Source organism: Homo sapiens, chromosome 7 (assembly GCF_000001405.40).
Source record: "Homo sapiens chromosome 7, GRCh38.p14 Primary Assembly".
Classification (NCBI taxonomy): domain Eukaryota; kingdom Metazoa; phylum Chordata; class Mammalia; order Primates; family Hominidae; genus Homo; species Homo sapiens.
This window is the reverse complement of record NC_000007.14, coordinates 20,682,424-20,699,594: the sequence shown is the minus strand read 5'-3', so window position 1 is coordinate 20,699,594 and position 17,171 is coordinate 20,682,424. Positions and strand designations below refer to the sequence as shown.

The 17,171-nt window shown below is 36.5% G+C and overlaps 1 protein-coding gene across 2 annotated transcripts in view; it reads right to left on the bottom strand.

Moving 5' to 3' along the window:
- The window catches only part of ABCB5 (ATP binding cassette subfamily B member 5), a 141,342-nt gene that overhangs the window by 57,414 nt on the left and 66,757 nt on the right, over positions 1–17,171 (bottom strand). For both annotated transcript variants that reach the window (NM_001163941.2, NM_178559.6), the window contains 2 exons: positions 13,759–13,899; positions 1,045–1,188 (listed from right to left, as the gene is read on the bottom strand). In NM_001163941.2, the coding sequence (NP_001157413.1) occupies positions 1,045–1,188; positions 13,759–13,899 (285 nt within the window). The remainder of the gene's footprint in view (positions 1–1,044; positions 1,189–13,758; positions 13,900–17,171) is intronic.

Genomic DNA, 17,171 nt, shown 5'->3' with positions numbered 1-17,171 from the left:
CGAGTAGCTGGGATTACAGGCGCGCACCACCACACCCGGCTAATTTTTATGTTTTTAATAGAGATGGGGTTTCACTATACTGGGCAGGCTGGTCTCAAGCTCTTGACCTCAAGTGATCCGGCTGCCTCCGCCTCCCAAAGTGCTGGGATTACAGGCGTGAGCCATTGCACCCAGCTTAAAATAAATTTCAACATAAAAATAAAACTATACACACATTTCTGTGGGAAAAAGTGCACCATGATGCTATCATCTGCATACATTATCTATGATAAAAAATAACTTGCTTTTAATTCTCAAACTATGTAAATATGAGATCTGAATAATGAGTCATCTATCTGCTATTATTATCACAGTATATTTCCCAAGAAACCACCAGTTTGCTTGAATTATTATTTTGAATAATTTTTGATCACTCAAGTTTCTTAGTAGTCTTCTAGTTAAGTAGTACCTGCAAGGTGAGGCTTTTTAATGTGCCCCCAGAATTTTTCTTAAAAATTAGTAACATACATACACAGGCATTTATACTGATAAAGTATAGCTGTGCAAATTAGGGAGACTGAAGTTCCAGGCTAGAACTTTAGTTAACATTGAAGAGTAAGCATGGATCTTGTAAGATCCTTAAACACACCAATTGCCCTGAGTCCTTTAGCAAAATCCCAGACTCTTGTTATTTCTTCTCCCTGAGCTGGCTGGTAAGAAAAGAAATTGCAACTATACCCACTAATTGAAAGGAAAGTAGTTGTATTTGCCTATTTTATTTCTTCAGTGTTTTGGAATGCTGATCCAGCACTGGAGTAAAAATTAGAAAACAAAGCAATTTCTTCACTGATTGCCCAGTCAACAAGGCCCGGCCACACACTTTACAAGAGATGCTGGCTTATCTCCTGGGAACATTAATTAACCTTCCTATCACGGACTCCACACTAGGGGCGGCCCACTAAAAGTCCCAATTTTCCCCTTGTGGTTTAGACTGATACAAGCTTGTTCTCTCAGGTCATACTTTCTTTAAATTGCTGAAAGTATTAGCAAATTTATTTTACTTACGGTTATAATTTTTGCAAAGATGATGGAAAATACTGGATGAACAGTTCCATTTAGAACAGAAGCCAATGTCCCCAGAACCACAAAAGGCCATTCAGGCTTGTTTAACTTTAAAATTTTTAATAGAGAGACTTCAGGAAGACTTATCTAAAAATAAAATATGTTGGTTAAAAATGCCAGTTTGTGTGCATAACAGAATCTAGTGAAGTTAGCCCATCATAAACAGAATTATAATGTATAACATCAAACATAACAGACAGCAGGGTAGAAAATATTTTTCTTAAAAAATTCACTGCCCGTATTATTAACGATGACCCTAAAGCATAAAATAAAAGAAGATTTGCCACAAGTGACTATTTGTGCAATATCACTTTTTGGCATTTCACTCAGTTGCTATTATTTAAAAAGTACAGTTAACTCACATGTAATTGTTAAGGGTCACAAAAGAAATGGCAGGTGTATTTTTCTTTACTCTTGTTAAACTGGATGGAATATTGTACTACAGGATAAGAAAAAAATCTAGGCAGAAGCTAAGAAAAGAAAATGTGGAAGGTAAAAGTTTCATTACGATCTCAAACTTGAAAGTTGGAAAGTTTCAAGATGTATTTACAAAAACATTTTCCTAATACCTTGGCTTGTTTTGGAGTTCTTATTTACAAGCAAAATATTGCAATATCCGAGCACATTATTTAAACTCACCAAGACTGTCTCCTCATTTTTCCAAGGGGAGTGGTATCAGTTCCTATCTTGTAGGATTGTTTATACAATTAAGCTTTATTCAGTACATTTGCAACTCACTGTATTTGCAAACAATAAACACCCAATAAATGCTAGCAGTCATTGCTGTTTCTGATGTTATTACAGAGGAAGGATTATGTTACACAAAATTTCAGGTTTTATACAGAGAAAGCACAATGCAAGTAGTCATTCTGGGTCTGCCAGCCCTTCCTAGGAGACGTGGAAGGTGACAAGGGGAGGTAGTGGTCACAGTGGTCAGAGGATAAATAATACGATAACGATCTCTCTTGGCTCTTGTCTGCAATAAGTAGTGTATTTCAGAATCTTAAAAATTCTTCTGAACAGCTTTGTGGTGAGTAATTATTCTGAGTAGGAAAGTAGACAGTGAATTCTTTGGTATTTCATTCATTAAAACTTCCTCATGGCATTCACTCTTAAAATAATGACATTTATGGACCTAATAACCAGAGAATTCTTCAAGTAAGACTATAAAATAGTTTATAATTCTCGTTCTATTCTCAGTGTGGCCACTATAATGCGGACTGTTGTTTGGACAACAGAACTTTGAAATTCTGATGCCTTTAAAGTCCATTTTCAGGGTGGCTAACCCACATTTATATTGGATTACTTAATAATTTGATTGTATCCATCATTTTTCCTGCTGAAGTTTTCTAAAGCTCATCATCAAAAAGGGCACAACATTTCAGCTAGGTCACTGTTCAAAAGAATGTACAAAAATTTAAAAAGTTGCACGCTAACTATCAGGCACTGAGCATGAAACTAAGTGCATTACAAAATTACCTTATTTGGTAAGGAGATTAAGGTTTAACATGTGCCAGGACACCAGTAAATTACAGAGCCAGGAAATTAGGAGGGCTATCTTCCTCCTATAGAACGATCTACATTACATAGGTAATTTAAAGATGTTCTTTTGCCTCTGGGAAAATACACAATAAAAGATTTAAAATGGTATCATTTAAATAGTGTTGTCAAGATAGAAAAGAAGTAAATAAGATAAAAACAAAACAAAAATTTCAGTAAAATCATAAAATAGGCTGTGTTACTTAAATATGAGACAGGTTGTACATGCGTTAAAATAATCTCATACAAAAACATAAAATTATAGACATAAAGAGATATGACGAGTATTAAAAAGTTAAAAAGTGATATCTAAAATATTCTAAATTTCATTTGATACAGCTTAGAGCTTTCTTGAGTTATAGTTTTCATATAACAAAGTGCACATATTTGAAATGTAAAATTTGATAAATTTGAACACTGCTACAGACTCAGGAAAACATCAAAAAAGTCAAGATAATAAACATATCCATTACCCCTAGAAGTTTTCTCCTGCTTTTTTATCATCCCTCTCTCCACACTTCTTAGTTGCCAGTCCTCTTCCTTCCTTCCTCCTGCAACTACTGATATGCTTTCAGTCACTATAGATTAGTTTGCATTTTTAGAACATTATATAAATGAAATCATACATTATCTACTCCTTTTCAGATAGCTTGTTTTGCTCAACATACTTATTTTGCCATTTATCCATGCTGCGGCATAAATCAGCATATCATTTCCTTTTATTGCTGCATAGCATTTCACTGTATAGCTATCTCACAAATTATTATCCATCCACCTGTTGATATAAATTTGAGTGGTTCCCACTTTTAGACTATTACACATAAAACTGCTATGAACATTCATATACAAGGCTTTGTGTGGACATATACTTTCATTTCTCTTGAGCAAATATCTAGAAATGAAATGGCTGGATCATTTAGTAGGTGAATGTTTCACTTTTTAAGAAACTGACAAATTATTTTCCAAAGTAGCTTTAGCATTTTATACTCCCACCAGCTAAATAAGCTCCAGTTGCACCCCACCATCACCAATATTTGGTACTGTCAGTCTCTTTAGATTTAACCATTCTAACAGGTGTATAGTGATTTCTCATTGTGATTTTTTTTTTGCATTTCTGAAATGACTAACCACGTTGGGCATCTTTTTGTGTGCTTATTTCCAATGTGCTCATCTTGTTTAGCAAAATGCCTTTTCAAATCTTTTGCTGACATTTAATTGGGTTGTTTGTATTTTTATTATTGTGCTTTGGGAGTTCTTTATATTTTTTGGATACAAGTCCTGATCAGATATGTGATTTACAAACATTTTCCCCTAGTTTATGGTCTATCCTTTTCATTTTCTTTGAAGTGTTTTACAAATAATGAAGTTCTTGATTTTGGTAATGTCTGACTTATCAATTTTTTTGTTTATAAATTATGCATTTGTTGTTATATTTAGGAGATCTTTGCTTAACACAAAGTCGTGAAGATTTTTTTATTGCATTTTCTTATAGAAGTTTTATTATTTTAGGTTTTACGTAAGGGCTTTAATCCATTTTGAGTTAATTTTCATCTGTGGTTTGAGGTATGGGTTGTGGCTGATTATTTTGTCTATAGATATATAATTGATCCAGAATCATTTTTTGAAAAAAAAAATTGTTAATTGAGTTGCCTTTGCCCTTGTGTTGAAAAGCAATTGACCATTTATGTGTGGGACTACTTCTCAGCTCTCTTTTCTGTTCCATTGATCTATTTGTCTATTTGTATGCCATTGAAATGTTTTGATTACTATAGTTCTATAGGTAATTGAAATGAGAATTAGTAATTAGCTTTATATAGTAGTTGAAACAGAATTGAAATCAGGTAGTATCCCTCTTCCAACTTTGCTCTTTTTAAAAAAAATTTATTTTGACTATTTTGGCTTTCTGCATTTCCATGTGAATTCAATTGGAGGAGAAAGAACATCTTAACTATACTGAATTTTCTTATTCACTCACATTGAAAATATCTTTTAATTTATTTAGTCTATTTTTCTCAGTAGTTTTTCTCTGTAATATTTTATAGATTGCAGTGTGTGGGTTTTACAATCTCTGATCACATTTATTCCCTATAATTTAATATTTTGGTACTATTGTACATAAAATTATTTTTTTATTTTTAATTTCCCACTTCCCACTTGTAGTATATAGAATTGGGATTGATTTTAGTATATTGTCACATATTCTACAACCTTGCTAAACTTTATTAGTTTTAGTACGTGTATGTGTGTGTATGTGTAGATTCCATAAGATTGTTTGCATAAGTAATCATGCCATCTGTGAATAAAGACACTCCTACATGTTCCTTTCCTACCTGGATGCTTTTATTTTCTTGCCTTATTGAACAGGCCAGAACTTCCAGTACAATGTTCAATAGATGTAGTGTATGCCCTTGCCTTGTTCTCGATCTTAGTCTTTCACCATTTAGTATGATGTTAGCCGTTGTTTTTTGTAGCTGCCTTTTATCAGGTTGAAGGAATTTCTTTTAATTCGTTGCTTGCTGAGAGTTATCAAAAAATGATGGGGTATTTTATCAAATGGGTTTTCTGCATTGATTGAGATAATTGGTTTTTTCTTTTTAATTTTTTTAATTAGGAGAATTACATTAATTTCTGAATGTTAAACCAACTTTTCAGTTTTTAGAACAGTCCTACTTGGTGATGATATATTATTCTTTTTCTATATGGTTGGATTAGATTTGTTACATTTTGTTAAGAATTCTTTCGTCTATGTTCATGGCTGATATTTGTCTATAATTTTATTTTTTTTGTAATCTCATTGTCTAATTTTGATATCAGAGTAATGATGTTGGTCTCATAGAATAAGAACTTCTTCCTTATCACTTTTTTTTTTAATAGAAGTCATCAGTAAAGCCATATGGCTTAAAGTTTTTTTGTTTTTTTGTTTTTTTTTTTAGGGAAAAAAGAATTTAACCACAGATTCAATTTTTTAAAATAAATGTAAGAATATTCAAACTATCAATTTATTCTTGAGTGGGCTTTGGTAGTTTGTAAACTTTAGGGAATTTGCTCATTTCATCTGAGTTGTAGGATTTGTTTGCATAAATGTTTTAATAAGATTATTTTATTAGTCTTTTAATATATGTAGAATCTGTAGTGATGTCAGCTCTTTCATTCTTGATGTTGGCAGTTTGTATCTTCTTTTTTTTCTTGCTCAGTGAGTTCAATATTGATGTTCCCAGAGAACCAGCTTTGTATTTGATTGATTTTTCTTTGTTATTTTCTTCCTTCTGGTATCTTAAGGTGGAAGCTTAGTATATTAATTTGAGATTTTTAGATAGTATAGGTGTTTAGTGGTACAAGTTTCTTTCTCAGTATCACTTTAAGCTTCCTATACATTTTGATATGTTCAGTGTTCATTTTTGTTCAATTCAAAACACTTTTGAGTTTCTCTTTTGATTTTTCCTTTGATTTGTGCATTATTTAGAAGTGAGTTATGTAGTTTATAAATATTTCAAGGTTTCCCAGACCACTTTCTGTTATTGACTTCTGACTTTATTCCATATTGGTCAGGTAATATACTTTGCATTTCTTGATTTTTTTTCTTTTTTTTGAGACAGGGTCTTGTTCTGTTACCCAACATGGGGTACGGTAATGCAATCATAGCTCACTGCAGCCTCAAAGTCTTGGGTTCAAGTAATCCTCCTATATCAGCCTTCCAGTAGCTGGGACTACAGGAACATGCCACTATTCCTGGTTAATTATTATTATTTTTTTTTGTAGAAACAGGGTCTCCCTATGTTACCCAGGCTGGTATTATGTGAATTTTTAAAAGTTTATTGAGACTTGTGTTATAGTCCAGAATATGGTCTATTTTGGTAAATGTTTCAAGTGCATTTGAGAAGAAGACATACTCTGTTGTTAATATGTGAAGTCTTCTACAAATGTTTATTAGGTCAAATTTGTTGATAGTGCTATTAAAGTCATCTATGTTTCTGCCGAATTTCTATTTACTTGTTCTACTAAGATTTAGTAGAAGGGTGTTGAAATCTCTGAATACAATTGGAGATTTGTCTATTTGCAGTTCTGGATAAACTGATTCCTTTTTAATTTTGAAAGAAACTTCTTTATCCCTAGTAATGTTGTTTGCTCTAAGAAAATTACTTTGGCTGTCCTTAACATCACAATCTACCTTCAGACAATGTTATATACCACTTAGGAACCTTAAAATATAATACTTTAGTTTCTTTTTCCCAGTGTTTTGGCTATTGTTTTCAAACATTTTACTAATACTTGTCTTAAAAAAACCCATAATATAATGTTCTTTTTTCTTTGAAAAATAAGTATGCTTTTAAACATATCAAAAATGTAAATATACAAACCATTCTTTTATAGTAACTTGTATATTTACTATTACTGATACTCTTCATTCCTTTGTGTATATTCAGATTTCCATCTAGTATCACTTTCCTTCTGCTCAAAGGACTTCCTTTAATATTTCTTGTAGTGTAGGTGTGCTGGTAGTTAATTATTTTAACCTTTAATTTCTGAAAATGTCTGAACTTTGCCTTCCTTTTTATTGGGCATTTTTCTGTAAATAGCATTCTGATTTGAGGTGTTTTCTTTTTCTTTCAGTGCTTTGAAAATATTGCTCCATTATCTTCTTGTTTGCATTGTTTCTGATGAGAAGTTTGTAGCTTTCTTGTCTTTTTCCTCATCTATATTGTGTCAATTTCTCTGGATGCTTTAGTAGTTTTCTCCTTAACATTGGTTTTAAGCAGTTTGATTATGATATACCTAGGTGTAGGATTTCTTATGTTTCTTATGCTTAGAATTTATTGAGCTTCTTGAATCTGTGGATTTTAAGTTTTCATCAAATTGGCAAATTTTTAAAGCATTATTTCTTCAATGATTTGGACTTCCTTTGGGGACATATGTACATACGGAATATAGATATAATAAATGCTTAATGTCTCTACTAACTCTACTAAGTGTGCCATTTCCGGGTCTATTTCTATTATTGACTGATTTTTCTCTTCATTTTGGGTACATTTTTTTTCTCCTTTTTTGCTTGCCTGGTGATTTTTGAATGGATGCCAGACATTGTAAATTTTAAACTTTTGGGGACTAGGTATTTCTGAATTCTCGTAAATGTTACTGAGCCTTGTTCTGGAACACATTTAAATTACTTGGAAACAGTTTAATCCTTTTGAGTCTTGCTATTAGGATTTGTTAGTTAGGTTTAGTGCAGAGTTTAGTCTAGGACTAATTATCTTCCCCTCTGAGGCAATATCTTTCTTAACACTTTACCCAGTGTCTCACCTGCACGTTGTGCACATGTACCCTAAAACTTCAAGTATAATAATCATAAATAAATAAATAAATAAATAAATAAAAATGAATTTAAAGATTTTCTACTCCAGTTAGTTTAATAAGAACTTTTCCTGGCCCTGTGTGACTTCTAAGAATTGCTCCTTTTAATCTTTTCTGGTAGATATATACCCTGCCTCTGGTAGTTTCCTCAATAAATACACTGATCAGTAGTCGGATGAAGACTCAAAGGAGAACCTCTGCAGATCTCTGGGCTTTTCTCTTTCTGAGAAGTTCTCTCCTCTCCGGTTCTTTGCTCTGAAACCTCTGGCTACTTTGGCCTCCTTCAACTCTTAGCTCTGTCTCCTCAACTCAAAGTCCACTGAGTTTCGGGAGGCGGAGTTTGCGGTGAGCCGAGACTGCGCCATTGCACTCTAGCCTGAGCAACAAGAGTGAAACTCCGTCTCAAAAAAAAAAAAAAAAAAAAAAAAAAAAAAAAAGTCCACTGGGTTTTGTCTGTGTTTTCCCTCTAGGCTCCGAGGCCTGAAAACTACTCAGACCTTAAACTGGGTCAATGACAAGTTTCATCTCATTTATTTCTCCTTCCACAGAGATCACTATCCTACTTTGCATGATGTCCAATGTCAGAAGCCATTATTTCACATATTTTGTTCAGTTTCTTAGTTCTATCAAGCAGGAAAGTAAATCTAGTCCCTGTTAATCTATCTTGGTTGAAAGTGAAAATCTCTAATTTTATGTGATTCTTCACGGCAGTTAACAAAAATGATCTCTTCCTTCTTCTGTACCACATTTCTTTTTTGGTGTCTATGATACAACACTCTCCTGGGTTTCCTCTTATTTTGCCAGCCATTTGTTAGGATCCCTTCACTAGTGACTTTTTCTATCCGAATCTAAATGGTGCAGGGTCCTGACTCTCATTCCCCTGTCCTACTCTTTTATCCATCTATATTTTATTTCTCCGCTGACAGCTTTAGTGAGACCAATCAAGTTCATTATTCAGCCTCCATCACCTCCTCTCCGTTCTGCTTTCCCTCATCTTACTCTGGCCCCCACACACTGTTCTCCAAACTGTAGCCACATGGAGTAGATCAGACCATGTGCCCTTCTGAATAAGACCCTCTAATGCAGCAGTGCTTCACCTGTTTTATTTCGTGGACTCCTTTGGAAGACTGGTGAAGTCTATGGAATCCTTCCCTGAAGAAATGTGTAAATATACTAAATGATACATAGGACTCCAAGAAAGCCAATTCCATTGAAACATCGTATTCAAAATATTTAACAAGTAACCTAAAGTTGTGATACAGTTATGAATGTGGTTCATTATTAGAACATAAGATATAATAATGATGAGTGTAAATATATTGTAAATTATCTATAAGGGCAATGTTATATTAAAATTTCTGTGGTATCCGTTCGTGATGTCACAAATACTGGTAATACTATTGTAGTTTGTTGCTTAGATTCACAAAGTAAATGTTACATTTCTATCAAGGGTTAATGGGGGGAAAAAGTTGTGATTTTTTATTCATTCAGGTTAATGGGCTCTGAAATCTATTCAGAAATTCCCTATAGGTCATGAACCACTGTTTAAAAACTCCTGAAGGTTTTTTGTTAGAGGAAGAATAGAATCCAAACTTGTCATGATGGCCTAAGAGGCCCTGCATGAACCGGTCCCTCAGTGTCCCACACGCCTCTCTGCCTACCCCTGTCGTTAGTCATTGGGACCCCCAAATCCAGGCCCTCATGCTTGCTGTGCCCCTGTCTGAAATATTACCACCCCTGTCCTGGTTATTGACTTATTGCCTCTCTGGTTCAAATTCACTTTTTTGCCTAATAAATATTTCTCCTTTACCAGTGGGCAAGAGGTTAAGCCCTGTCAGTAGAGGGTGCCGCAAAGACATTGCAGGAGGAGGTTTTTCTTCCTTATCTTTCTGGTGCTCCCTGGGAAAGCTCCTGCAGGATGGTTTTTTTTCTCCTCTGTTCTGCCTGCATAGTTTTTCAGAGGCAGGTGCCTGCAGAATGCAGCTTTCTCTTCTGTGTGGCCACTGGGTGCTTTCTCTAGCTCTTGGCTTAGGTTACAGAGGCATAACTATGAGCACAGTCCTATGTCTCAGCCAGGTCACTAATGCCTGCACCCTCCCACATGCAGAACTGCCCTAGACTCCTGCAGATGACAATCTTGGCTAGCTTCTTGTTCCAGTAGTGCTCAGTGGCCAGTAGTTTCCCCAGCACCTGACAGGTTCTGAAGCTCAGCACCGTCCTGTGGAAGGTCTCCCTTGCCACCCTTGAGGGCAGATTTCCAGCAAGCCCCACCAGCAAGGTACCACAGCAACTGCTCTGCCATCCAGTGAACCACAGCTGTGCCCTTTCCATTGAGGCCTGCCTCTCCGCCTTGCTGGGAGAGAAGAAAGGGATCATCGATGGGTGCTGTATTTCACTCCAGCGGTAGTGGGGTGCTACTTTTATCTGCTACTTCTGTATTCTTTAGAGGTGTCTTAACTTTCTTTTATTATTATTATTATTATTTTATTATTATACTTTAAGTTCTAGGGTACATGTGCACAACGTGCAGGTTTGTTACATATGTATACATGTGCCATGTTGGTGTGCTGTACCCATTAACTCGTCATTTACCTTAGGTATATCTCCTAATGCTATCCCTCCCCCCTCTCCCCACCCCACCACAGACCCTGGTGTGTGATGTTCCCCTTCCTGTGTCCAAGTGTTCTCGTTGTTCAATTCCCACCTATGAGTGAGAACATGCCGTGTTTGGTTTTCTGTCCTTGTTAGTTTGCTGAGAAAGATGGTTTCCAGCTTCATCCATGCCCCTACAAAGGACATGAACTCATCCTTTTTTATGGCTGCCTAGTATTCCATGGTGTATATGTGCCACATTTTCTTAATCCAGTCTATCATTGATGGGCATTTGGGTTGGTTCCAAGTCTTTGCTATTGTGAATAGTGCTGCAATAAACATACGTGTGCATGTGTCTTTATAGCAGCATGATTTATAATCCTTGGGGTATATACCCAGTAATGGGATGGCTGGGTCAAATGGTATTTCTAGTTCTTGATCCTTGAGGAATCGCCACACTGACTTCCACAATGGTTGAACTAGTTTACAGTCCCACCAGCAGTGTAAAAGTGTTCCTATTTCTCCACATCCTCTCCAGCACCTGTTGTTTCCTGACTTTTTAATGATCGCCATTCTAACTGGTGTGAGATGGTAGAGATGTCTTAACTTTCGCTACCCAACTCCCCATACTACAATCCCCTCTTAATGATTCATTATACTAAACTTTCTCTTTCATTGTGTGCTTTCTATCTCCTGACTGGACCCAGACTAATAGAACTCCCATTAACTCTGTTCTAAAATACTGCTCCATTTCTTTTTCATTTCATTATTGATCTTTGTTTATTTTATTTTATTTTATTTTGTTTTTTGGTTTGTTTTTTGAGACCGGGTCTCACTCTGTTGCCCAGGCTGGAGTGCAGTGGCATGATCTTAGCTCACTGCAACCTCTGCCTCCCGGATTCAAGCAATTCTCCTGCCTCAGCCTCCCGAGTAGCTAGGATTACAGGCATGTGCCATCACGCCCAGCTAATTTTTTATATTTTTAGTAGAGGCAGGGTTTCACCATGTTGGTCAGGCTGGTGTTGAACTCCTGACCTCGAGTGATCTACCCACCTCAGCCTCCCAAAGTGCTGGGATTATAGGCGTGAACCACTCACCTGGCCTATTTATTTTATTTTTATTTATTTCAGAGATGGGTTCTTGCTCTGTCAGTCAGGCTGGGGTACAGTGGCATGATCATAGCTCACTGCAGCCTTGAACTCCTAAGCTCAAGCAATCCTCCTACCTTAACCTCTCTTGTAGCTATTATTATAGACCTGTCACTGTCCCCAGCTCATTATTGATTATTACAGTCTCTTCACTTCCTTGTTTATTTTTCACTGGATTACCACAGTCTGAAAGAGTCCCTTAAAAATATGGCCATTGAGTCACTCCTTAGCTTATTTCGGTTCTTGGTTGTAGGACACTTTCTCTGTTTCCTGCTTCCCCAGGCTCACGGATTTCTATAAACTTTAGCTCCAGGCATTGGCTAACCAGGTTTTTCAGCCTTCTTTTCAGAGCAGGTCTGTGACTATTGTCCAGCTCACCACTTTGTGCTTTTGCTCTAGTTCTGGTGTGAAGAGATATTCCTCCTGTTTTAGAGCCTAGATACATTTTATTGTTTTTTCTCATTTTATATTTTATCAGTTTCCATGTGTGGAGCACGTAGTTGTATCAGATTGTAAACCAATTATATCATTTTGTCCAGAAATCTGGAAATTCCTTTTTAATTTTCGTTTTTTATCTTTCTTAGGTTTTGAAAATCCACTTCATAAATACGGTGAATTTTTAGACCTAGAGGCAGATTTCCATAGTGTTTTCAGCAGTTGCTGAGGGAGGTCCAGCAGCTATCAATAGATGTTTTAACACAGTGTTTCCTCCACTCTTGCCTAGTGTCTCAGTACAAACTTTCTTGTACTATATTCTTAACATACATTTGTCATATGGTATACCATCTATACCATTATTTTTCTTTGCATGCTTATTTATTTAAATAGACTTAAAAAAATAAAATTAGCAGAAAAGGAAAAATGTCTGAGTGTAAATGGCTATAGAGGACCACATACCTAAAAGGAAAGAGTTGTAGCTAAAATTAAAAGCAATGGATTAGCAATGCCAGAGAAGGGCAAGAGGGGTTTTGGGGCAGATAATCCAGGGGCTTCAGGCAGATAATTGACAGATGAGACCAAGGAAAGTGGGCATGAAGACGGGCTAAGAGGAGATTCAATCTCAAGTCTCTGTCAGTCCCAAGGAGAAGAAGGAAACTCTAGTTTGGGAGGAAACAATGGGCCAAGGATAGGTGTGAGATGGTATGGATGCTGGAGGTTAGGGGACTGAAGCTGAGATACAGGGGCAAGGGTGAGGGATTTCAAGGCATGTGAGGTTACAGAGCACCAGGGGCTAGCAAAGGTCGACTGGGTTTGGGAAGAGGGCTGGAGCTCAGTGAATGCGGAGGCTGGGAGAAGCATGGGTTAAGGTGAGATTAAGATGGAAGGGTGTGTTGTAAAAGGGTGCTGCAGAGAATGTTCAGGATGTGTGGTGGAGGCTCAAAGCAGGTGTCGGGCGTGTTAAGAGAAGGAAAGTGGAATTGAGACAGAAAAGTGAGACTTCAGGTGCAGATGGGAACTGCTGGGAGGTATGAGGGGTATCAGCAGAAGGAGAGTCAAAGCAGGTGATGTGGGGCTCAGGCAGAGCCTGGGGCTTTGGGGGTAGGAGTGGGCACAGTAAGCATGGGAACAAATACTCCCATCCAAGTGAGCAAGGCTTCTCAGGTTGTGCCCTGGGACTGCAAGCCTGGGTGGTGTATGTGCTGGGCCTATCTGCATTCCGGGAGTGGCATGCATTTATGCCTCTGACCTGACCCAAATTAATCTTGAGCATCACCATTGGTATCTGTATCACATTTGCCGAGGCACTGTTTTAACCTATGGTTTGCTTCATAGGAAAAACATCATGTAACAGTCTCACGAGATTTTTTTTTCCCCAATAAAGAAGGGCCTCTGATATAAATGCAGCCTTATTAGGCAGCCTTACCTAGAGTGACACACTGATGCTAGAGTGAAATTTGGGAAAGACATGTTTTGTGAGCTTAGTGCTACAGTAAGTAATATTTTACTATAAATAAATTTTAAATTTTGTAAGGATTAAATCAAAATTAGAAAACATGCAGGAAAAACTGGTTGATCGCTGAGCCATTACCTCTTTAGATTGGGTGGATTCCTCAGCCTTGTCAATGAAGTCTGACTTGATGCTCTTCACAGAGTGCAGAGGAAGTGAGTTGGTCTTTCTTTCAGTAGAATATGTCATTGACTCCATCTGTTCATCAGCTTTTTTAATATCCTTACAGGAAGAATATATAGGTTATCATTATAAGAATGCCTTAAAAATTCAAGGAAACTTATTAAGCATCTCTTTAAAGCTGTTATCGCCTTTGCTATTGAAAGTGGCATATTCTAATGTAGTTCTTGCTGAACAGCTTTCAGGCTTGATAGAGAGCTGATAAGTCTATCTCATACTAAAATGTTAGTGACTGACAATAGCTCATTGTCCTTTCTTTTCCAAAGACATGTATAATCACCTGCAGAAAACAATGCCTTAATCCAAGCAATTATATCACTAACAAGGAGAGATCTTAGTAACAGGAGCTTTTTGAGACAGAAGATACTGTTTCTGACGCCTTCCTCCTAGCCATTTCTGGGGCTTATGACCTTGTAGTATTTAGTTGGGTACTTATATGTGAGGCTGGGCCTGAGAGAGACCTTGGGAGACAATCATGCTTTCCAGGCCTGCCCCTGCTACCCATTCTGAACTGTGAACAAAACACAAAACTAACAGGGCCTACTCCTCAACAATAAGAAATTCCAAAGCAATCAAATTAACATTAAAGACCAGGTGCAGTCGTCACCCCTGTAATCCCAGCACTTTGGGAAACCGAGACGTGCGGATCACTTCAGGCCAGGAGTTTCAGACCAGCCTGGCCAACATGGTAACACCCTGTCTCTACTAAAAAGACCACTTTAGTGAAATAAAGGAGCTACAGATTCTCTGTTCATTTGAATGTGGTTTGAGTAAATCAATGACTTTCCCAGGAGGAGATGGGAGGAGAAGGACAAGAGAAATGAGAAGCCCAGCTAAGTTGCCAGCAGGTCTGGCCAACGTGGGGAAGAGATGGAAAATGTAGGTCGATTTAGGTGCACAAGGAGAATGTGCACATGGAAGAGTTTCCAGGGACACGGTGATTCTTTGATAAGCCTAACAACTGTAATCAGTCATTTAAAGGGACAATGAACTTTAACCAGCCCCGGACTATCCAAACATCTTTAATCAGGCATTCCTTTTTGCTATCATTTTCTCTTTTTTCCTGTAAATGTCTCTGCCATGAAAGAAATATTTTATATGGCTTTGAAATTTTTTATTTTTTGTTTTTATTTATTTATTTACTTATTTAGAGAGTAGGTCTCACTGTGTTGCCCAAGCTAGTGTTAAACTCCTCAGCTCAAGCAGTCCTCCTGCCTCAGCCTTCCAAGTAGCTGGGATTACAGGAACCAGCCGTCATGTCCTGCCTTGTTTGGCTTTTCTCCCCTGCCCCCAGGAGTTTCTCACTTTGTGGCAAGTTTAAAATAGAACTTTGACCTCTCTTCATAATACATTTTCTGAGAAGGTGCTTTAATAAGTCAAGGAAATTTTCTTTTCTTGAGAAGGTCGCTGGACAAAATAATGATGACAGTAAGTTTTGATATGTGTATATCTCTACATGTTTATATTTCATTTTCACATACAAACTCACTAAAGCAATATACATGTATATAACCATGGACAGTCTAAATAAATAATTATAATATTAGTCTCCATAGTTTGAACTTTTCTAAAAAGTTTGATAAAATAATGTTAATGTCAATAACATAATAAAATTTATTACACTAACAATAATTCTAAGTACTTCACATGATTTTGCCTGTTTAATACTCACAATAATTTATTAATAGGTTATTACCATTTCCCTCTTGTTAAAGGTTAGGAAATTGATGCACTGAGAATTTAAATAACTTGCCAAGGACTAAAACTATTAGTGGTAGAGTCAACTTGTAGTGACCAAGAGTTCATCATCTTAACCACATTGCTATATTGCTTCTCGGGATTATTTTAGCAGCATTAACTGTGATATTTGTGATAATCACGAATTATCAAAATTGACACATTTTGATACCGCAGTCAATCTTGGCAAATAAGAATGTGCAGATCTTCACATTTCAAAAGTGTTTGTGTAGATATTATGTATGTTACATTTACTGTACCATGCTTAGAATATTATACTTAGTATTAATATTTAAAACGGTGTTGTTATATCTGATTGGGCATCATTTTAGGTAACCAGAGAATACTAATCCATTTTAAATAAGGTGTTTAAAATTTTTACACACTCATCCCACAAACACACCATTTTTGCTTTTTATACATTGTGAAAGCATTTAACTTAAGACCTATAATGGATTTTTAGTTTAATTACAATAAAAAATAAAGATGTACTACTCCAAAGAAAGATCTGACTATACTAGTATTAATAGTGTTTAAAAAATCTTAAAATAGGCTTAATTCGACCAGTTATTTCCTATTATTCCAACTCATATTAGTTTCAAAATATTAAACCTCGTAAATTATTAGGTCTACTGTGGAATAAAAATTCGATTATCAAATAACACCTCACTTTTATTTTTGAGACACAAAATGTGAACTAATATGAAATAAAATGAGAATCAGACAGTTTTTCAATTAATAAAAACTACATTTTCAAACCTATTTTACTGTTATTGCTTCTTAGGGTATGTTCAGAAATATTTCATTTTAGCACAATGGAGAAAGTTAGGGTTTGAAATTTGAAGTTATAAACTTGATGAGGAGATGGAGGCTCATAACTTTCTAAATTTCCTAATTTATAAAATAATAATATTGACATCAAAGATATTATCAGAAAGCTGAAGAAGACCAAAAAGGGTTGAAATCAGTTATCTGTAGAAGAGCCCTTCGAAAAAAGGATGCCTTCCAGGTCAAGAGAAGAAAGCTGGGCGAGAACAAAGAAGAGAGCTAGAGCCTAATTCCCATGACTCATATTAATGTGCCCTAATGAGAAAGTTATGTGAAATCCAGTAGGGTGGATCCATGACACACGCAAGTATGGATCCTAAAGAAGGGGAATTTGCCGTGTGCCTCCAGCATCATCATGCCCCAGCTTGATTGCCCAGTATGAGCTTTCTGGTCCATCTGTGGTGATGTGGTAGCATGCACATAGTAAGGTTTTACGTGTGCATCCCTTCATTCAGCAAGTGTTTATTGAGTGCCCACTGTGTGCCAGGCATTGTCTTAGGTGCTTCCTACATACGTTAAGTCTCAACCCTTCTGCCTGGCTTCTCAGAACGTCCATGATCTGATGGTTATTTTCCAACTCTTTTCCATTATACCCTCAACACTCATAAGTACTTAAGGAAAGCTACCTCCTTTTTGTTTCAGTCGCACACCAAGTTCCTTCTTACCTCTATGCTGTTGTTCTGCCTACCTGAATTTGTCCTTTATGTTCACCCCCAACTCCCACCTTTTAACCTTAAAGACCTCTTCCA